This window comes from Homo sapiens, chromosome 10, assembly GCF_000001405.40.
Source record: "Homo sapiens chromosome 10, GRCh38.p14 Primary Assembly".
NCBI lineage: Eukaryota > Metazoa > Chordata > Mammalia > Primates > Hominidae > Homo > Homo sapiens.
In genome coordinates this window covers 133,379,168-133,399,863 of record NC_000010.11, presented here as the reverse complement: position 1 = coordinate 133,399,863, position 20,696 = coordinate 133,379,168, and the positions used below count along the sequence as shown (strand labels likewise).

The window sequence follows — 20,696 nt, the reverse complement described above, 5'->3', positions numbered from 1 at the left end:
TTCATGTTAAAGATTTTAAAAGAGAGAAAAATTAAGTGTGAAATTCACAGAACGACCTGGTCCCACTGTTCAGCCCTCCTGTGAACTGGACTGAACGAGACAAGATGTGCTCTGGGGCTGCGGGGTCAGCAGAAGACTGGCAGTGCTCCTCGGGCACGTCCCCTCCAAGAAAGATGGTGGCATCAGCACATCAGCCACACGCGCCAGTACCTTTCCTGAGGTGATCAGCCGCACGCGCCAGTACCTTTCCTGAGGTGCTGCCTCCGGAGGGAGTTGATGAGGGAGGACTTGCCCACGTTGGGGACCCCAATGACCATGATACAGTACTCCAGGTTCTGCGCAGGCAGAGAGAGGGGTCACAGGGCCCACCGTGGCCGCTAGAGCCTGAGACTCTGCAACCCCACCCAGGCAAGGGGACCCCAGGCCAGGTCAGCTCAGGGAAGAAGGGAGGTTAACGCCGAGGCTCTGCCCACCCAGCGGGGACGGCCTCGGCCCTTTCCACTGAAGAGAATGAGAGGACAAAGGAGGGGCCTCCCTGCCTGGGGCGCTGCGCCTTCTCCTTGGAGAGGCCAGGCAGGAGGGGCTGGCCCATCCCACGCCCGCCTCCCACTCCCAGCTCTGGGCCCCACCAACCAACCTCTTTTCGGTGGTAGCGGTGGCTTCTCCCAATCAGTTCAGTGACCATCGGGATGATCTGCAACAAACACCCACTCATGGAGCCACCCCAGGTCGGACGTCTGTGCACTGACCCGCTCCTTCTGCCACCTCAGAACAGGATTAGGGATTCCAGTGTCTCCACTTTCACATATCCGTTAGGAAAACAGAAACCTCCTATCTGGAATTCTACCCAACATTTCATAGGCAAACTGGGCGTCACCCTTCATCTGGAGGTAGCACACCAAGTATCCGGTGTTGGGAAACTGGAGTTCTGTCCAGGTCACAGATGTCAGACTGAGCTCTGGGGCCGGGGACCACCTATGCCCGTCCCCTCCCATCAAAAACAAGCAGGGCAGACCCGGGGCTTCAGTGACAGCTGTAACTACCTTTTAATGAAGAAACACATCAAGCCAGAAAATTCTACCACATACAACTGGAAACATGAGCTACCTGAGTCTCCAAAAGACTCTGACCACCTACAACCCTGGAATGCGTCTACAGCCTGACCTTGTGCCCTCAGTACAGGGAGACCCACTTGCCCCAGGAGATCGCATCCGTGTGTGGCAGCTGGAAACCAACACCTAGGATCTTTTCCAAAGCTCTGCTTCTTACTAAAGCATAAAACAGTTTATAATGCTCCTCGAACCTACTGAAGCAGAAGCGTCAGAGAGAGCACAGACGAAAAGCCTACCTGCTTGACATTTTCATCCTTTACACAGTTGGTAAAAATGACATTTTTTAGGCCTTCTCCTTCTAAGTGTTGCATAATTTTCTGAAAGACACAAAACATTTCTATGTTACTTTTTTTACTGGAGTCTTGGCTCTGTCACCCAGGCTGGAGTGCAGTAGCACAATCTCGGCTCCCTGCAACCTCCGCCTCCCTGGTTCAAGCGATTCTCATGCCTCAGCCTCCCAAGTAGCAGGGATTACAGGCATGCGCCACCACGCCCAGATAATTTTTGAATTCACTGGCCTTAACATGCAGTGAAACTAGTGCAAAGCAGTATCATATTTCTAAACATCAGTGCTGTTAATCATCTGACCTAAAGTATGACTGATGTTTAAATCAACAAGTCCTTCACTGATTCAGCTGGTTTTATTTAGCTGTCCACGAAGATGACACGGATGGAGAGATCAAACATAAGACACACACCTGAAGCCACACACTCTGGGTAGTAAATGTACTTGGGTGTCCCTGCTCAGGGAGGCAGAAGGCAGGGCCACCCAGGGGCAAGTCTACCTCTCTCCCGATTCTTCAGAAGCACTGGCCTTTCTCTGACCAGGTCAGACACTGCTGTGCCCTATACTAGACGGCCACCCACCAGTCTACAAAAAGTCACATTTTCAAAGGCAGGAGTTGCCACTGATATGACGTAAAAGTACCAACTAGTGAAAACACTTGCGATGATTTAAAAAAAAAAAAAAAACAGGCTGGACGCAGTGACTCACGCCTGTAATACCAGCACTTTGGGAGGCCGAGGCGGGCGGATCATGAGGTCAGGAGATTGAGACCATCCTGGCTAACACAGTGAAACCCCGTCTCTACTAAAGATACAAAAAATTAGCCGGGCATGGTGGCGGGCGCCTGTAGTCCCGGCTGCTCAGGAGGCTGAGGCAGGAGAATGGCGTGAACCCGGGAGGCAGAGCTTGCAGTGAGTCAAGATTGCGCCACTGCACTCCAGCCTGGGCGACAGAGCAAGACTCTGCCTCAAAAAAAAAAAAAGAAAATAAGACACAAGACAAAGAGATAAAAGAAAAGACAGCTGTGCCTGGGGGACCACTACCACCAAGATGCAGAGACCGGTAGTGGCCCCAAATGTCTGGCTGCACTAATATTTATTGGATACAAAGCAAAAGGGGCAGGGTAAGGAGTGTGAGCCATCTCCAATGACAGGTAAGGTCACGTGGGTCATGTGTCCACTGGACAAGGGGCCCTTCCCTGCCTGGCAGCCAAGGCAGAGAGAGAGGGAGAAAGAGAGACAGCTTACGCCATTATTTCTGCTTATCAGAGACTTTCGGTACTTTCACTAATTTTGCTACTGCTATCTAAAAGACAGAGCCAGGTGTACAAGATGGAACATCAAGGCGGACTAGGAGCGTGACCACTGAAGCACAGCATCACAGGGAGACAGTTAAGCCTCCGGATAACTGCGGGCAGGCCTGACTGATGTCAGGTCCTCCACAAGAGGTGGAGGAGTAGAGTCTTCTCTAAACTCCCCTGGGGAAAGGGAGACTCCCTTTCCCGGTCTGCTAAGTAGCGGGTGCTTTTCCTTGACACTGACGCTACCGCTAGACCACAGTCGGCTTGGCAACGGGCGTCTTCCCAGACACTGGCGTTACCGCTAGACCAAGGAGTCCTCTGGTGGCCCTGTCTGGGCATAACAGAAGGCTCACACACTTGTCACGTCTCACTATGTCCCCTCAGCTCCTATCTCTGTATGGCCTGGTTTTTCCTAGGTTATGATTATAGAGCAAGAATTATAATAATATTGGAATGAAGAGTAATTGCTACAAACTAATGATTAGTAATATTCATATACAATCATATCTATGACCTATATCTAGTATAACTATTCTTATTTCATATGTTTTATTACACTGGAAAAGCTCGTGTCCTCGGTCTCTTGCCTCGGCACCTGGGTGGCTTGCTGCCCACAATGCGCACTCACTGACCACTCGGGCTCTGGCAGCACAACCTGGCCACTTCCCACAGGAGACGTGCACTCCCTGGGTGTCCAGGTCACGAACCACACATTAGATGGGGGCACGCCATATGAGAAACGATGCTGGCACGCTTCTGCAAAGCAAAGGGCTGTTTCTAAAGCAGAGCCTGCCTGGGCAAACTGACAAGTGTGCGTCCGGCAACTCTTCCGTTAGAACAAGCGACCTCGGGAAAACACAGCCACACTGCTGAAGGCGTCTGAGAGAAAGGCCTTTACCTGCTGCTCTGTAAGATCCGCCAAGTCCATCTTGTTGAGGACCAGCAAGTGAGGCTTAAGCCCAAGGGTTTCCTGAAACAGAGGGTTGCGGCCTGAAAGTGGGATGTGGCAAAATTAAGGTAAAAATTCCTCCAAAGCTTTACCAGCCAACCAACTTTTTTTCTTGCCATCAGTGAACGAATCATCACATCCTGCCAATTCATTCCTCAAGTACAGGAGAAAAGCCCCAGTTGGCAGGAACATTTAAACAGTTTCATAGCCCATCTAGAGGATTCCACTGCTGCACCGTACCGTCAGGCTTGAGTGACGCAGATATATGTATTAACAATGAAGTTTCAAAGACACGCAGTCTGGACCCCACATCACAGATTCTGATTAACTGGTCTAGAAAGGGGCCTCGCAATTCATATTTTTAAAAGCCTCCCCAGGTAATTCTAATGTGTAATATGACTTCAGGCAGAGGGGCCTCCCCTGCTCTGTGAAAGGATATCCGGGCATCGTGGACCTCGATGATACAGTCCACCAGCTTCAGGCTGCTCTGCATCTTCTTCAGCCCTGGAAAACAGAAGGACGCCTCAGCGAAGGGGCTCACAACCTTTCTAGAGTGATCGATTCAAGCTGAACCGTCCAGAATGACACGCCACCATAAATAACCTAAAAAGACTATATCTGAGGGAAGCGTACTAAGTAATGGTAACAGATAACATCCGCTGAGCGCCTCCTCCAAGGTCCGCACCCTCGGAGTGGGAGACTGGGAGGCACCCTGCCACAGGGTGGGCCATGTGTCAAAAGCCAGATGCGGTCTTCACCACCTGACTCATGGCTGACTCTGGGTGGAATATTTAACGTGCATGGGTCGCTTTTTTGTTTTCTGAGACGGAGTCTTGCTCTGTCACCCAGGCTGGAGTGCAGTGGCACGATCTCGGCTCACTGCAACCTCCGCCTGCCAGGTTCAAGCAATTCTCCTGCCTCAGCCTCCCGAGTAGCTGGGACTACAGGGACGCGCCACCATGCCGGGCTAATTTTTTGTATTTTTAGTAGAGACACGGTTTCACCATGCTGGCCAGGATAGTCTCGATGTCCTGACCTCGTGATCTGCCCACCTCGGCCTCCCAAAGTACTGGGATTACAAGCGTGAGCCACCGGGCCGGGCCCTTCCACGGGTCTTAATCTGGGCTATAACACAGAGTAACACTGGCTCATTAGGCCCCTGCTACCTCGCGGGGATGATGACGATAGTCCCCTAACCAGGAATACCACACACAACCAAGATAACAAAGCTTCCAGCTTTCTTCCCCTCCAGTGTTATCCGAAGACCGAGGACACAGCCTCAGTCACCCACACGGGCCCTTCTTCCCCCTCGGCCCCCAGTACACGCGGAGCCGACGCAGGAGTGGCCATCACAACACCTAGACGGGCTGGGCTGGCCCCAGAGGTCTTCTTGGGGCCGAATTGTGACAAACAGTAAGAATTACCAAAGACGTTAAGCAGGAGAACGACTCAAGATACCAGTTAAAACTGAACAGGTGCCTTCATACCCACTGTTTCATTTAGTCCCCAAAAGACTCAGAAAAGTCTATCTTGTCAAGAACATGTGGAAACGGAGGCTTCGGGGGATTAAAAGGGCAGAAGGAACTTGCTGGGAACAGAGGACAGGGGCGGCGGGCCAGAGGTAGGAGGTCAAGCAGGCCCTGGGTCCGAGGCTGCGCCGCGGGGGCACTCGCGGGAACGGGCCTCTCCCGCAGCTGCGCAGGGGAAGGGGTCCCGGCGGCTCCGGGAGCGGGTGAGAGCGGGGAAGGAGGGGAGACAAGGGAGGAGGGGCGGGGCCAGCCCAGAACGACCGGGAGAAGCAGGCGACGGCCGAAACCGGGGTGGGAGGGAAGCAGAGGCGCCGCGGCCGTAGGCATGACCTTGCCCCTCCCCGCCGTGCCTCACCCTTGGCCATGTGGCCCGGGAACCAGCGCGCCACGTCGCGACCGCACAGGGGGAAGTTCTCCCGCCAGGCGGCCTGGGCGGCGCTGCACAGCGCGCGCGGGGTCAATCTCATGGCGGCACCGTCCCCGGAAACGCTCCCGCAGCTGACCTCCTCTGCGCCGCTGCGACCCGCCTCTGAGGTTCCGGCGCTGCGGGCCTCCGGCACTGCGGGCTTCCGGCGCTCCAAGGGGCCGCACCACGGCCTGCGCGTGCGCACGACGTTGCCTCCGCCTCCGGCGAAGCCCGGAGTGGGCGGGGCCCGGGCCCAGAGGGAGGGACGAATGGTGGGTCGAGCGTCGGGGCGGGACTGCGAGGAGACCCGGGGGGACGGGGAGGTTCCTGGGTTTTGTGGGTTTAAGTAATTCGCAGATTTATTAACATTCATTAAATATTAAAAATCATCGTTCTCCCTTAAGCATATCCTGAGTATAAGTGTAAAAATTTAGCAATCTCTTTTTACAATTTGGTTAAAATCTCTCAAATACTTTAAATTTACCTTATAAATGTAATCTCTTCATTTTCTTTTTAAGTACTTCAGGGTTTTTGTTTGTTTTGTTTTGTTTGAGACGGAGTCTCCGCTCTGTTGCCCAAGAGTGCAGTGGCACGATCTCGCTCATTGCAACCTCCAACTCCTGAGTTCAAGGGATTCTCCCACCTCAGCCTCCGGAGTAGCTGGGATTACTGGCGCCTGCCACCACGCCGGCTGATTTTGTATTTTTAGTAGAGATGGAGTTCCACCATGTTGGCCAGGCTGGTCTCCAACTCCTGACCTCAAGTGATCTACCTGTCTCGGCCTCCCAAAATGCTGGGATTACAGGCATGAGCCACCGCGCGCAGCCTCAAGTACTTCAGGGTTTAATATAACAAACTGTTTCCAAATACTGACTGCAGTTCTGCTAAATTAAACCGATTAATTAATGAGGCTGAAATATTCTCCACTGTCCAAGACTAGACATAAATATAGTCGGATTTCAACTCTAAATCAGCAGTCAGCAACTGCTCAATTGCACACTGCGTTACAAGAGTATTACTCTACCGGAATTTTTATTTTTGAGACGGAGTCTCGCTCTGTCGCCAGGCTGGAGTGCAGTGGCGTGATCTTGGCTCACTGCAACCTCCGCCTCCCGGGGTTCAAGCAGTTCTCCTGCCTTAGCCTCCTGAGTAGCTGGGACTACAGGTGCGCACCACCACGCCCGGCTACTTTTTTTGTATTTTTAGTAGAGATGGGGTTTCACCATGTTGGCCAGGCTAGTCTCGAACTCTGACCTCAGGTGATCTGCCCACCTCAGCCTCCCAAAGTGCTGGAATTACAGGCATGAGCCATGGCACCCAGCCTCTACTGGAATTTTTTAAACAAGCTACTGAAAATACCAAACATGCTCAAATTCTAAGTACAAAAATATTGCCATGGTTCTGATGTTCTTAAACCACCTAATACCCTAACGCCTAGCTGTAAATATTTTTGGGCATGAGAGAGTGGCCCCTCCGTGGAAGACAGAAGCCTCCCAGGTGGTTTCTGGGCTGAGTGGGGGCAGTCAGGGCCTCCTGCTAGGTCAATGCCCCCAAGCCCCCTCCTCACCAAGCCGGTCCCTCACACCCAGAGGGGGCAGCCTGGGTCTTGCTGCCTTTCTCCCTGGGATACAGAATTGATGAAACCCTAAATGTCAATGATAAAGATTTTTGTACTTTAAGGAAGCTGCATTCCCTCATGGTCCTAGGAGCACAAAACCACAATAAAACCCTGTGGAATCTGAATTTCTCTCCCAGGCGTCTGATGGGCAGGTGTCCCCAGAGAGAACAGTCTGGTGACACAGCAAATGCAGGTGGGGCTGCTGGCTACAGAGGGAGGCTGGGGCTCGGGAGGGTGGGGTCAGGGAACATCCTAGGAGGGGCAATTTGAACAGAGACCAGAGGGTGAGAAGAGAGGAGCCCTGCAGATCCAGGCTGGGGTGGAGGGGCCGGAGAGGGGCCTGGACTCCCAGCACATTCACCCCAATACCACGTGGTACCCCAGCACTGCCCACACCCCAACATCCCCCGGCACCCAGCACACTCACCCCAACACCCCCCAGCACCCAACACTACCCACACCCCAACACCCCCCAGCACCCCAGCACTGCCCCCACCCCAACACCCCCCAGCACCCAGCACACTCACCCCAGCACTGCCCACGCCCCACACACTCCCTGGCTCCCATGGGCTGGGCACCGTTTCTCTTTTCAGGCCTTATTATGTATTCACTTCCTCCAGAAAACCCCCGGCCTCAGGGCAGGGCAGGGCACCCCTCATCTCCCCAGTGCCCTGCGAACCTGTGAAGTGGGCGCCTGATGCAGCATCAGTTGATGAGCAAGAGGAGGGTTGTCAGCTATGCTGTCATCCCAGGCAGCAGCCACGAGAATGCAGGGGCACGAGAAGCAACTACAGGACCCAGAGTTCAGGGAACCCAGAGTGTGGGGCCATGTGTGGTTGTGGGGATTGGAGACACAGGGCCCTGTGCAACCTGGGCCCGGAGCAAGACAAAGACAACAGCAGCAGATGCTGGAGCCCCAAGGCAGGAAGGACAGGACAGCCTCAAGGCAGGAAAGATGGCTCTGGGAGCTGTGGCTGTAACTTGCTTTATGTGTCCAGCATCTCCGTGAGCATCTGGTGTCTCAGCTCAAGTCAACCCTGGCCAGACTCCAATAACAGACACAAGAACTGAGAAGGTGGCCCTGGTTACCAAAAACCAGAGGACCCTCATTAACATCCCCAAATTTCAAGCCAGACTGAAATCTGTCAGAAGAAATGAGGGTCCCAGCCTACCCCCGACACGGGTGGAACAGAGTAGGCTGGGCCCAGCTAGAGCCTGGGCCTGGGCTGCTGCACCTGCGGGGCCCACAGACTGAGGAGGCGGTCGGCCTCCCTCCATCCCGACAGCAGAGCCCCGTGCGTCGTGGAGTAAAACGTGCGATGTGTGGCTTCCCCCGCAAACAGGATCTGGAGCTGCAAAGAAGAGCCAGGGTTAGAATGGGGATGCAATTCAGACAGCAGGGTCTGGGCAAGGAAACACAGAAAATGGCTCACAAGCATCCACCAAGAAGCAGGAAAACAGCTCACACACCTCCACCAACGGACGAGAAAAGGGCTCACGTGTACCCACCAATAGCCAGGAAAACAGCTCACACACATCCACCAACGGGCAGGAAAACAGCTCACATGTATCCATCAACAGCCAGGAAAACGGCTCACACGCATCCACCAACGGGCGGGAAAACGGCTCACACGCATCCACCAACGGGCGGGAAAACGGCTCACACGCATCCACCAACGGGTGGGAAGACGGCTCACACGCATCCACCAATGGGTGGGAAAGGAAGCCACTGCACCCCGCAGCTCAGGTGTGAACAGCTTTTAGAGAAAACAAGGGGTGTAAACACTGAATAGTGATCTGGCCTCAACTCCTGGATCACATATGGGGAGGGTGGGGGAGGGATCTGGGAGTCGGGTGGGCAGAGGAAGAAAGCTACAGCCTTATCTGATGTAATGAGAAGTCAATTAGTAACACCTGAAACTGAAAACTCAAGAAGCAACATTTCCAAGCAGGTTCACTGAAGAGAGACCATGAGCTGATTGGAAAACTGAACAGTGACTAAATATTGGATCATATTGAGGAATGATTATTAATTTTTAAGTGGGTAAATGGTATCATAGTTATATGGTTTTATTTTTATGTTTTCTGAGACAGAGTCTTGCTCTGACACCCAGGCTGGAGTCCAGTGGTGCAGTCATAGCTTACTCCAGCCTCAACTTCCTGGGCCCAAGCCTGAGCAGCTGGGACTACAGGTGCATGCTACCATGCCTGGCTACTTGTGTGTGTGTGTGTGTGTGTGTGTGTGTGTGTGTGGAGACCGACTCTCACTATGTTGCCCAGGCTGGTCTCGAACTCTTGGCCTCAGCAAACCTCCTGCCTAGGCCTCCCAAAGCACTAGGATTACAGGTGTGAGCCACTGCCCTCAGCATCATAGTTAAGTATTTTACAAGGATGTCTTTATCTTTTAGAAACAGGCACCAAAATATCCTGAGGTGAGACAATGTCCTGTGTGAGTCATGCTTAATAAAAAAGGGCGGGGGTGGGCGGGGAGAAGCTTGGCTTAGGGGAAGCCTGGTGGGCACTGAAAGGTTCTCCCTACTTTAGTATGTTTGACATTTTGCACAGGAAATGTATCTCAAAACGTGGTAGCAGAAACATGTTTTTAGAGATGCAGTAAACTTAGCGATGAGAATCAGCTGGGAGCACCGTCTGAGAAGGGCAAAAGGGGCTCCACCTGCCATTTTGGTTTTATTTTCTTTTGTTAGCACTGCAGAATTCTCTGACTTTTTAAGCTGTGTGTGTATAATTCTCACAAAAACAGTACATTTAAAAATTATTCTTAGTTTCAAAAAGAAAATGGCTTCCGAGTCTGGGATCCCAGCCCACCCGCCACTGGCTGGTGCTCCTGCAGCGCCCAGACTCGGCGGGGGCCTCTGCAGCGGGACCCACGCCCCCCGACTGGGGCACGCCACATACCTGGGCGCCGGCGCCGTCTGCAGGGAGGGGCTGAGCCAGCAGGTCCAGGTCGCCCCCAGTACTGCCCACGGCCACGTAGCTGTAGGACCCCCTAGTGTACGGGGCGCTGTGCCAGCGAGACCGCAGGACGCTCTTGGGCGCGGGGAGCCGTGGGTTTCCTGAGCCACAGAGACACTGCATGTTAACCGAGAACTCTCACCCACAGGTCTGCAACTGTTTTTGTCATTTTTAAAGATTGAGCAGTTTAACGTGAAAGATGCTATGCAGGAAGAAAAGTGAGCAGCAGAGTGTGTCAGGAGAGGCTCTTCCTGCCGCCTCTGACCCGAGAGCAGTGGGCTGGGACCCGGGGGCCTCTGACCCGACAGCAGCGGGCCGGGACCCGGGAGCTGTGACAGCAGCAGCTACTGTTTCCGAGCCTTGGGTTCCTCCTCTGTAAAAATCTGATCAAGGACAACGGCATTTATTTTGGTGGCAGAAGTAGGAAGTGTTTGCAAAGTCATTTCAGTTCCTCGGAGGTAAGAACTGTTACTGACCCCACTAACATGAGGAAGGATGGTCCCTGGAGATGTACAGAGTCAGCCAAATTTAGTTTTTCTCTGTTCTGCAAAGTCTAGTTTCTGTTTAGAGATCAACCAGTAACGAGCAGAGGCAGGAACCAGCGTGTGTGGTGAGTACCTACCTGTCACTCTCCGGAGCACTTGGGTGAGACACAGAAGTACTTCTTCATCCGACAGAGTCTCCATGAACTCAGACTCAAGTCCGGCAATGAACCCACAGAGAACGTGGACAGACCTGCATGGAGAAAGAGAGCCCTGGGATGACCAGACCTGCATGGAGAAAGAGAGCCCTGGGATGACCAGACCTGCATGGAGAAAGAGAGCCCTGGGATGACCAGACCTGCATGGAGAAAGAGAGCCCCGGGATGACAGTGTCCAGCCCAGCTCTCCGCCCGCGTTTCTCAGCAAGGAACCACTGATGGAGCAGGGGCCCCAGAGGCACAAAGAGCCACCCCACAGAGCGTCCCTCAGGCAGCAGTTCGCAGAGTGTGGGCGGCAAAGTCCTGGGGGTCCGAAGGCCCTGCCAGGGACCCTCAAGGTCACAGCCATCTTCAGACGCTAAGACAGCATTTGCTGTTTCCACCACGCCGACATTTGCACCTGAGCAAGAGCCAGGGCAGGTAAACCGTCCCTTAGCAGAATCAGGCAGCAACAGGATCCACATGCGCCTACAGGCGTTCCCACCACTGCACATGAGGGTTACAAAATGCTGCTTTTTGCAGCCGTCAAAGAACGAGATCATGTCCTTTGCAGGGACATGGATGGAGCTGGAGGCCATTATCCTTAGCAAACTAACACAGGAACAGAAAAGCAGACAGCACATGTTTTCCCTTTCAAGTGGGAGCTAAATGATGAGAACACACACTGGGGCCTATGGGAGAGTGGAGGATGGGAGGAGGGAGAGGAGCAGGAAAAATAACTAATGGGTACTAGGTTTAATTCCTGGGTGATAGAACTAATCTGTACAACAAGCCCCCATGATACACGGTTAGCTACATAACAAACCTGCACGTATATCCCTGCCTCTGAATATAAAAATTAAAATATATATATTAAAAAATAAATAAAAATGCTGCTTTCACTTGAGAATGTCCTTGATCAAAGGCAGTAAAAGTTACTAATTTTATTAAATCTTGATCCTCGAGTTCATGTCTTTTTAATAATCTGCGTGGAGGGCCAGGCACAGTGGCTCAGGCCTGTAATCCCAGCACTTTGGGAGGCCAAGGCGGGCGGATCACGAGGTCAGGAGTTCGAGACCAGCCTGGTCAATATGGTAAAGCCCTGTCTAATAAAAATACAAAAATTAGCCAGGCGTGGTGGCGGGCACCTGTAGTCCCAGCTACTCGGCAGGTTGAGGCAGGAGAATGGCATGAACCCGGGAGGTGGAGGTTGCGGTGAGCCAAGATCGCGCCACTGCTCTCCAGCCTGGGCGACAGAGTAAGACTCCATCTCAAAAAATAATAATAATCTGCGTGGAGAAGCGGGATCCGCATAGAACACTCCTGCTGCGCGTGGTGCACGGTGGCCGTGGAGGACTCACCTAGCACACGCTATTCCAGGCGGGGCTGGTGCGTCTTTCACAGACAGGCTCAGAACTCAGGAGAGCACCAGTCAGACAAATCATGGTGTGGTATTTGGTGACATTTTCTTGAAAATGAGCAAAGTGTCTCTATCACAGGAAAACAACTAACAAATAGTATTTATAGACAATGACAAAGTTTAAGCTCTCAAGCAAAAACTGCAATTTTAGAAAAGCTTGTTTCTGCCACCAACAGCATAACAGCTTCCCAATCCTGAAAGACTTTTCTGAGATCAGTGGTATGTTAATAAATTTGATTTTTTATATTGTATAATGAAATGTATCAACATTTGGAAGACTACATGAACCAATATATATATATTTTATTTTTTTAAGACATGGCCTCCCTCTGTTGCCCAGGCTGGAGTTCAGTGGCTTGATCACAGCTCACTGCAACCTCCGCCTCCTGGGCTCAAGCAATCCTCCCACCTCAGCCTCCCAGTAGCTGGGACCACAGGCACGCACCACCACATCTGGCTAGCTTTTTGTATTTTTGGTAGAGACTGGGTCTTGCTATGTTGCCCAGGCTGGTCTCGAACTCCTGAGTTCAAGCCATCTGCACACCTTGGCCTCCCAAAGTGCTGGAATTACCGGCATGAGCCACCAAGCCCAGCCTAGTATTTTCCAATGACTAAAGCCATGGATAGATAAAAGATCCATTTAAAGTGCAAGACAGACAAATAGATTTCAGTGTCACAGAAGACAAAAAATTCACTGGTGTGCTCTCCAATTTCATATTTGGCCAACCTTTAAGGAATTACTACTACATCTTGACTTTTGAGGTAGTATCAAAGAATACCCACAATCATTTCAAAAGCTATTTAAATATCACTCCTTTGGCCGGGCGCAGTAGCTCACGCCTGTAATCCCAATACTTTGGGAGGCCAAGGTGGGCAGATCACTTGAGGTCAGGAGTTCGAGACCAGCCTGACCAACATGGAGAAACCCCATCTCTGCTAAAAATACTAAATTAGCCGGGTGTGGTGGTGGGCACCTGTAATCCCAGCTACTCAGGAGGCTGAGGCAGGAGAATTGCTTGAACCCGGGAGGCGGAGGTTGCAGTGAACCGAGATCGAGCTATTACACTCCAGCCTGGGCGACAAAAGCAAAACTCCATCTCATAAATAAACAAATATCACTCCTTCTTCCAACCACATATCCATGTAGATCCACATTTTCTTCCTATGTTTCAACCAAAATAAAACATCACCACAGAATGAATGCAGAGGAGGCCTGAGAACCCAGATGTCTTCTATTAAGTGTAACACTGAAGAGTTTTGCAGAAAAGGCCGGGCGTGGTGGCTCACACCTGTAATCCCAGCACTTTGGGAGGCCAAGGTGGGCGGATCACTTGAGGCCAGGAGTTCGAGACCAGCCTGGCCAACATGGCAAAACCCTGTCTCTACTAAAACTACAAAAATTAGCTGGGCATGGTGGCACACACCTATAATCCCAGCTACTCGGGAGGCTGAGGCAGGAAAATCGCTTGAACCCAAGAGGCAGAGGTTGCAGTGAGCTGAGATCACGCCACTGCATTCCATGCATTCCAGCCTGGGTGACAGAGAGACCTTGTCTCAAAAAAAAAAAAAAAAAGTTTTGCAGAAAAGACAAAACTGCTGCCACCCTTCATTAAATTTTAAGAAAATATTCATTTAAAAATGTTATTTATGCTAACATAGAATAGGTTTGTTACTATCATCTCAAATAATAATTTAATTTATCATGTGGTGACTGGGTGCGGTGGCTCATGCCTGTAATCCCAGCACTTTGGGAGGCCGAGGCGGGCGGATCACGAGGTCAGGAGATCGAGACCATCCTGGCTAACACGGTGAAACCCTGTCTCTACTAAAAATACAAACAATTAGCCGGGCGTGGTGGTGGGTGCCTGTAGTTCCAGCTACTCAGGAGGCTGAGGCAGGAGAATGGCGTGAACCCAGGAGGTGGGGCTTGCAGTGAGCCAAGATTGCACCACTGCACTCCAGTCTGGGGGACAGAGCGAGACTCCATCTCAAAAACAAAAAAATATTTTATTTATCATGGGGTAAATTTACAGATGTGACTCACATAAACAAAAGCTCTTTGAGATCCCCAACCCTTTGCAGGTATATAAAAGGATGGGACAGCTACCACCCCGTGCCACAGACAGGGTCCCACCAAAGCACTCAGGGTCCCACTGATGTCCTAAGCAAGAGAGCACAGGAGGTGGGGCTGGGCCTGGAGCAGGTGGCTCTACACACAGTCACCCACCCGGCTGCCCACCAGCAACCCAGGCCTATCTCAACACCTGGAATGCCAGTTTTCTTTCTTTTTTTTTTTAGACAGAGTTTTGCTCTTGTTGCCAAGGCTGGAGTGCAGTGGCACAATCTCAGCTCACTGCAACCTCTGCCTCCCAGGTTCAAGCGATTGTCCTGCCTCAGCCTCCTGAGTAGCTGTGATTACAGGTGCGTGCCACCACACCGGCTAATTTTTTGTATTTTTAGTAGAGACGGGGTTTCATCATGTTGGCCAGGCTGGTCTCGAACTCCTGACCTCAGGTGATCCACCCGCCTCAGCCTCCCAAAGTGCAGGGATTACAGACATGAGCCACCGCGCCTGGCCGAAATGCCAGTTTTCTCTTCAGTGTGAAGGAGACACACAGGCTTCCCCCGTCACAGGTGCAGGGCTGGTCTGCAGCCTGCAGCCTCCTGCTCCCAGTGGATGGCAACTATGAACCATCTGGCAGGCATGCCCTACATCCCACCCCATCCCGGGTCTTTCAGAACAAGAACTTGGTGCCCCCTCCTGCGGCATCTCTCAGTGGAAACGTGGAATTATTTCTGCCATCTGACTATATCAGGCTGTCTTTGTGTTTTAATCTTGCTGGAAAAGTCAGTCCCTCCATCCCCACATCACTCATGGGATTAACTCCTGAATCGCCACGTGGTCTAGATATGCTGTTTCTAAGAGGGCCAGCCCATACAAGGGAGCCCTTCCTCTGTGGGTCTCCCATTCCATTACTTCTCGGAATGTTTCCTTCAATTATTTCATCCCATTTAAGTATTGTCTCCCCACGTATGGGCAGATGGTGTTTCAAAGTTCTTCTGTATCTACAAGCCCCAGCTCCCTGCAACATTCCAGTAAACACGTTCCCACTGACTGAAGACTGAGCCTGCCTGCAAGTCTACAAACACATTCTGGGCCCTGAGGGACGCTGACAACCCGCATACAGCAGGGCGCCATCTGTCCCCGCAGGGGTCAGGCCCAGGTGCAGCCAGCACCTGGTGGGGGGGCGCTCATGGGAACCCTACCCATTAAACCCCCTAGAAATACCCTGCAGTGAACAGACACACTGCTGCGTCCTCCATCAGATGAAGGCCTATGAGCCAGCCACTCGCAGAACTTCTCAGGGAGCAAACGTACGCAAAGGCAGGCAGGACCACAAAGCCAATGAGCTTCCGGAACCAGGCGTCCTGTAGCTCAGGGGCAGCATCCTCCAGGGGCGACGTGTCCTCCCACACCAGCTGGATCAGCTGGCAGTCTGGCTCCCAGAAGGGCTCCTCAAACTCCAGGAAGATTTTGTTGTTGGTCCCAAAGCCTATCTTCCTGATTGCTTCTGCCTTCTCAGCCGGCAGGGGAGGGTCAAAGAAGGTGTCCAAATGTTCCCTAAGAAAACCTGGAATTCAGAATTGGACTCTTCTTACATCACATAAAGCCCTCCACGGAAGTCCTGTCTGTCCAGACCTTGGATCCAGCAATTTCCCCTGCTGGTGTTTATCCTACAGACACATTCACACAAGCAGTTTTACTTTTTTGTCCTTGTTTTTGAGATAGGGTCTTGCTCTGTTGCCCAGGCTAGAGTGCATGCAGCACCATGATCAGGGCTCACTGCAGCCTTGACCTCCCTGGCTCAGTCCTCCCACTTTGGCCTCCCAAACTGCTGGGATTACAGGCGTGAGCCTCTGTTCCCCACCTTTCACACAAGTGTTTTTTGTTTTTTTGTTTTTTGGGTTTTCTTTTTTTTTTTTTTTTTGAGATGGATTCTCACTCTGTCGCCCAAGCTGGAATGCAACGATGCCATCTTGGCTCACTGCAACCTCCACCTCCCAGGTTCTAGTGATTCTCCTGCCTCAGCTTCCCAAATAGCTGGGATTACAGGCACCCACGACCAGGCCCAGCTAATTTTTCTATTTTTAGTAGAGATGGGGTCTTGCCATGTTGGTTAGGCTGGTCTTGAACTCGTGACCTCAGGTGATCTACCTGCCTCAGCCTCCCGAAGTGCTGGGATTACAGGCGTGAGCCACCGTGCCTGGCCAACACAAGTGTTTTTAAGTGCACATGTAAAACTGCATGAAATAGAAAAAGTGAAGGCCACCTAAATTTCCATCTATGCTTATGAAATAATGACAAGAAAACACTGCGTGGCAAATTAACCCGCTCCTTTTTTTTTGAGACGGAGTTTCGCTCTGGTCTCCCAGGCTGGAGTGCAATGGCACAATCTCGGCTCACTGCAACCTCTGCCTCCTGGGTTCAAGCAATTCTCCAGCCTCAGCCTCCTGAGTAGCTGGGACTACAGGCACCCGACGGCTAATTTTTGTGAACTGGCTCCTTATAAACAAAATGCTCACAGTTGTAGCAATGTATCTACTGACAATGTCCCCGTGATCAGCACTTAGCAGGGCCTGCAAGCACTTACTCCAAACGTGAATGAACAAAGCCACTGGAGGGAAACAAAAAAGACCGCTGTAGATCTATGTGTGCTGATTTGGAAACACTGACAAGTTCTATTAAGAAAAAAACAAAAAACAAAAACAGGCAAACTGAGCAGCAGATTTTTGGTTTTTTTTTTTTTCTGAGACAGAGTCTCACTCTGTCACCCAGGCTGGAGTGCAATGACACCATCTCGGCTCACTGTGACCTCTGCCTCCCCCGTTCAAGCGATTCTCCTGCCTCAGCCTCCCAAGTAGCTGGAATTACAGGTGCCTGCCACCATGCCCAGCTAATTTTTGGATTTTTAGTAGAGACAGGGTTTCATCATGTTGACCAGGCTGGTCTCGAACTCCTGACCTCAGGTGATCCGCCTGCCTCAGCTTCCCAAAGGGCTGGGATTACAAGCGTGAGCCACCGTGCCCAGCCAGCAGCAGATGTTCATGTGTGGACGACGACTGCATCTCTGGGAAACAGCAATGGGGTCTCAGTGCTCATCCCTGCCCCGGGGAGGGCAAAGCCACCCCTTGGAGACAGGAGTTAGGGCTGCGGAGGCTCCTGCTTTTCATCACACACCTGTCAATCACACCTAGATTTCCAAGTGAGTGCTGGCAATCGCTAGCTTTGTGAACTTGGGCAATTAAGTGACTTCTCTCTACTTGCCTAGATGTTCAAATCTGTCATATGTGGGACAATGACAGACACCTCCCAAGGCTGCCTGAGTCAATGAGATAACTCAGGCAGAGACCCACGGCAGCGTGAAACCCGTGGGAAGCAAATGTCCAGTTGACAGCAATTATCCTAGTAACTCTGTTTTCAACCATCTCCACCTTTTATAAAACAGCTTCAAACCACCTCTACTCAAGGACAGATCTAAAGCACCAGATCTAGAATTAAACAGAATTATACACACGGCTCCTTCAACAGGTCACCCCAGGCCTGACCTTCAGACCAGGCCTTTCATGCCTTTTCCTGTCTGCAGCAAAGTGCGGTGTGGTTAATCTCCAAGGCCGTCGCAACCCTAAACGGTTACCTCCAAGCGAGCAGGACGCATACTTACTCGCGTTTTTTCTTACGGTGAAACCCTTAATTCCAAAGCATGTAATTGCTACAAAACATAACAGAATCATTCCTTCCACCTATCTGGAACTTACTAGAACGAAAATGTGAGCTTCGTACACAAGCAAACGCCCCAGAGCCAACTGAGGCAGGGTAAGGGCAGAGGCGGGGGCACTTGGGATGGGGGTTTGGGCTGAAAACCTGACCTACCTAAGGGCACGGTGACGATGACATGGTGCGCCGGGAACCGGTCTCCATCCTCACACTCTACCGACACTGGAAAGGTCTCCCCGGGAAAGGCTGCCTCCTGGAAGGACCCGTTCCAGTGGATGGTCTTCACAGGCTTCTCAAAAACTACAGTGTCCTCCGGCAGGGCGGCCATCATGCAGTTTGTGAGTCCTTGATAGCCCCTAGAAAGACGGAAGTGCTGGTTTCGTAGAGGCCCAGTCCCTGGAAGGGCAGGACTGGTGGAAATACGTGCTCTGAGTTCCCACCCGCATCAAAGGTAGCTGCGGGGAGCTCTCCATCGCTCAGGGCCAGCAAGGAGGTCAGCTCCACTCTGTGGTTTTCCACCTCAAGGATGCTCATACCTGCCCTCCAGGCTGTAAGGGAGGGTTCAGTGGGCACAGAGCACTCAAGGCAATCTGCCGGAACCAGGGCTTCCTCCTTACCACCACAGAGTTCCTGACTCACAAATGCCCATTGCCTGGCCAGGAGCCTTGGGGCCAACACCAGGGGTGACGGGACAGCCCGAGGAGGGTCTCATCTGCACCTGGTACCTGGCAGCCACCCTGCCACAGGGAGAGGGCCTGTCTGGCCCCCTCTGCAGTTGAAGCCCCTCATAAATACAGGAGCAAGAGAAGTCTTTACTCTTCTTCTTTTTTTCTCTTTTGAGATGGAGTCTCACTCTGTCGCCCAGGTTGGAGTGCAATGGCGCAGTCTTGGCTCACTGCAACCTCCGCCTCCCAGGTTCAAGCAATTCTCCTGCCTCAGCCTCCCGAGTAGCTGGGATTACAGGCATGCACCATCACGCCCGGCTAATTTTTGTATTTTTAGTAGAGATGGGATTTCACCATGTTGGCCAGGCTGTTCTTGAACTCCTGACCTCATGATCCACCTGCCTCAGCCTCCCAAAGTGCTGGGATTACAGGCGTGAGCCACCGCACTCAGCCTTACCTTTCCTTCTTTTAAACACTCTCTCTCAGAAATAACTTTTTTGGCTTAAATGAGCAAAACTAGGGAAAGGAGCAACCAGTCTGTCGGAATGGGGAGGACAAATGGTCTCCTGTCCCTCCCATACCCAAGCAAGAGCGGAGCTCAGCCAGCCCCGGTGCCCTGGGGAGCCTGGTGGGAGGACTGGCGGGGCAGGGGCTCAGGCACGCACTTAGAAAAGGTGCAGTCCAGCCCCGGCAGCACGGTATACTCCCCAAAGGGTGCCAGGGCCACCAGGTCCATGCTGTGGGTGCCGCTCACACAGCATTCCAGGTTGAAGAAGGAGTTCAGGACGGCCAGCTTCAGCTTCCTGGTCTCCTCATCCTCTGTCCAGCCGGCCACGTGCTGGCCAATCTCCTTCTTGAGGTACTCCCCGACGCTGGGCACCGGGGTCTCTGCAGCGTGCAGGAACTCCCGGGTCTGGTCTATCAGGCCGTAGAACAGAGTCGCCATCTCCGCCACCAGCTGGAGGCTCACGCTGGCCCCGGAGCTGGCGTAGCTCACGGAGGGCAGGCCCACGTGACCCCCGGTCTCCACCAGCTGGTTCTCCTGGGACAGCTCCTTCTCCCCCAGCAGCCCGTACTCAGCAGCCAGCTGGAAGACGGGGTTACCCCGGGAGGGCCCATGGATCCAGTGCGCGCCCACCTCCACCACGCCACCTGCGAGGGGACAGCAGATGCCACCTGGAGGTCCCTTTCCTAGAAGGGTCACCCCGAGCCCTTCTCCTGGGCCACGCCCACGCTGGCCTTCCCAAGGAGGATGTACCACACTGTCCCCAAGGGCCCTGTGGTCCCCCAGGGCAGGGCCCTGTCAGACCCAGTTTAAGGGGAGCACCTGGGCAGGAGGGCACTTGTCGGGCGGTGTGGACCAGAGGGAGGGGCGCAGGGTGGGCGTACCCCGGGGCTGGGGGGGCCCCCGTGGGGCAGAATCAGGGCGGCCTTGTGGAGCCGTAGGTCGCCTTCCCTGGCCGGCGCCCTCCTGACTAACTCTGAGCCCTGAGTTTCGGGGCGGTGAACTCTGGCGGATTAAGCGAGCGGGGATTCCCTCGGGGAGCCCGGTGAGGCGGCCGGGCAGGTCGGCTGCGCGCAGGGCAGGTTGGGGCCGGCGAGTTCGGGCGCAGCCGGTTGGGTTCCGGGAGGGGCTCCGGGAGGGGCGGTTACCGAAGCAGCGCTCCGAGCGGATGCGGCCCCCGGCGCGGGCCGTGGCCTCCAGGACCCGCAGGTGCGGGAAGGCGGAGTGGCCGCAGAGCCTCTGCGCCGCGCCCAGCCCCGCGATGCCGCCGCCCACCACCAGCACCCGGGGTCCGCCCGGGGCCTCCCCGACGCTGCCGGTCGACTCCATCGCGCGGTCCGGGCAGTCCGAGGGCTTCTGAGTAGCCGGGAGGTCTGGAGCTCTCGGAGGAGGCCGGAGGCGGAGCGAGGGGGCGGGGAGGCGCTGGGAGGGGCGGGGAGGGGCGGGGAGGCGCGGGGAGGCGCGGGGAGGGGCGGGGA

At 53.2% G+C, this 20,696-nt stretch overlaps 2 protein-coding genes across 8 annotated transcripts in view, besides 9 other annotated features; both read right to left on the bottom strand.

Moving 5' to 3' along the window:
* The window catches only part of MTG1 (mitochondrial ribosome associated GTPase 1), a 28,364-nt gene extending 22,657 nt beyond the window's left edge, over window positions 1-5,707 (bottom strand). Inside the window, exons 1-6 of the mRNA NM_138384.4 lie at window positions 5,532-5,707; window positions 4,087-4,151; window positions 3,597-3,701; window positions 1,349-1,429; window positions 638-694; window positions 245-335 (exon numbers count right to left, since the gene is read on the bottom strand). Of these exons, the coding sequence (NP_612393.2) occupies window positions 245-335; window positions 638-694; window positions 1,349-1,429; window positions 3,597-3,701; window positions 4,087-4,151; window positions 5,532-5,643 (511 nt within the window). The 5' untranslated portion in view covers window positions 5,644-5,707. The remainder of the gene's footprint in view (window positions 1-244; window positions 336-637; window positions 695-1,348; window positions 1,430-3,596; window positions 3,702-4,086; window positions 4,152-5,531) is intronic.
* Window positions 4,027-4,981: an enhancer, noted in NCBI's record as "H3K27ac-H3K4me1 hESC enhancer chr10:135208387-135209341 (GRCh37/hg19 assembly coordinates)". NCBI's record gives its function as "activates a minimal SCP1, AML or CMV promoter by ChIP-STARR-seq in primed H9 embryonic stem cells {active_cell/tissue: H9 hESC(primed)}" and the evidence as "EXISTENCE:reporter gene assay evidence [ECO:0000049][PMID:30033119]".
* Window positions 5,306-5,505: a silencer, noted in NCBI's record as "silent region_2982". NCBI's record gives its function as "represses an Ori minimal core promoter by ATAC-STARR-seq in GM12878 lymphoblastoid cells {active_cell/tissue: GM12878}" and the evidence as "EXISTENCE:reporter gene assay evidence [ECO:0000049][PMID:35858748]".
* Window positions 5,566-5,915: a silencer, noted in NCBI's record as "silent region_2981". NCBI's record gives its function as "represses an Ori minimal core promoter by ATAC-STARR-seq in GM12878 lymphoblastoid cells {active_cell/tissue: GM12878}" and the evidence as "EXISTENCE:reporter gene assay evidence [ECO:0000049][PMID:35858748]".
* PAOX (polyamine oxidase) lies at window positions 8,170-20,602 on the bottom strand. Of its 7 annotated transcripts, none has more exons than NR_109764.2 (7): window positions 20,367-20,602; window positions 18,205-18,404; window positions 16,925-17,012; window positions 15,652-15,904; window positions 10,796-10,908; window positions 10,117-10,274; window positions 8,170-8,552 (listed from the first exon to the last, which is right to left on the bottom strand). NR_109764.2 is itself a non-coding variant. In NM_152911.4 (7 exons), the coding sequence occupies exons 1-7, from the start codon at window positions 20,545-20,547 to the stop codon at window positions 8,409-8,411; spliced, it is 1,536 nt and encodes a 511-aa protein (NP_690875.1). In that variant the 5' UTR covers window positions 20,548-20,602; the 3' UTR covers window positions 8,170-8,408. The 7 variants fall into 7 exon arrangements, 3 of the variants coding, with proteins under 3 accessions (NP_690875.1, NP_997011.1, NP_997010.1); NM_152911.4 differs by lacking the exon at window positions 16,925-17,012 and adding an exon at window positions 19,379-19,865; NR_109763.2 differs by lacking the exons at window positions 15,652-15,904; window positions 16,925-17,012 and adding an exon at window positions 19,379-19,865.
* Window positions 9,976-10,055: a silencer, noted in NCBI's record as "silent region_2980". NCBI's record gives its function as "represses an Ori minimal core promoter by ATAC-STARR-seq in GM12878 lymphoblastoid cells {active_cell/tissue: GM12878}" and the evidence as "EXISTENCE:reporter gene assay evidence [ECO:0000049][PMID:35858748]".
* Window positions 10,645-10,939: a silencer, noted in NCBI's record as "tiled region #11835; K562 Repressive DNase matched - State 1:Tss". NCBI's record gives its function as "represses a minimal TATA promoter and a strong SV40 promoter by Sharpr-MPRA in K562 cells {active_cell/tissue: K562}" and the evidence as "EXISTENCE:reporter gene assay evidence [ECO:0000049][PMID:27701403]".
* Window positions 11,106-11,235: an enhancer, noted in NCBI's record as "active region_4249". NCBI's record gives its function as "activates an Ori minimal core promoter by ATAC-STARR-seq in GM12878 lymphoblastoid cells {active_cell/tissue: GM12878}" and the evidence as "EXISTENCE:reporter gene assay evidence [ECO:0000049][PMID:35858748]".
* Window positions 11,106-11,353: a biological region, named in NCBI's record as "ReSE screen-validated silencer GRCh37_chr10:135202015-135202172".
* Window positions 11,196-11,353: a silencer, noted in NCBI's record as "fragment chr10:135202015-135202172 (GRCh37/hg19 assembly coordinates)". NCBI's record gives its function as "represses an EF-1alpha promoter that drives an FKBP-Casp9 reporter gene in an ReSE screen in HepG2 liver carcinoma cells {active_cell/tissue: HepG2}" and the evidence as "EXISTENCE:reporter gene assay evidence [ECO:0000049][PMID:32094911]".
* Window positions 20,267-20,676: a silencer, noted in NCBI's record as "silent region_2979". NCBI's record gives its function as "represses an Ori minimal core promoter by ATAC-STARR-seq in GM12878 lymphoblastoid cells {active_cell/tissue: GM12878}" and the evidence as "EXISTENCE:reporter gene assay evidence [ECO:0000049][PMID:35858748]".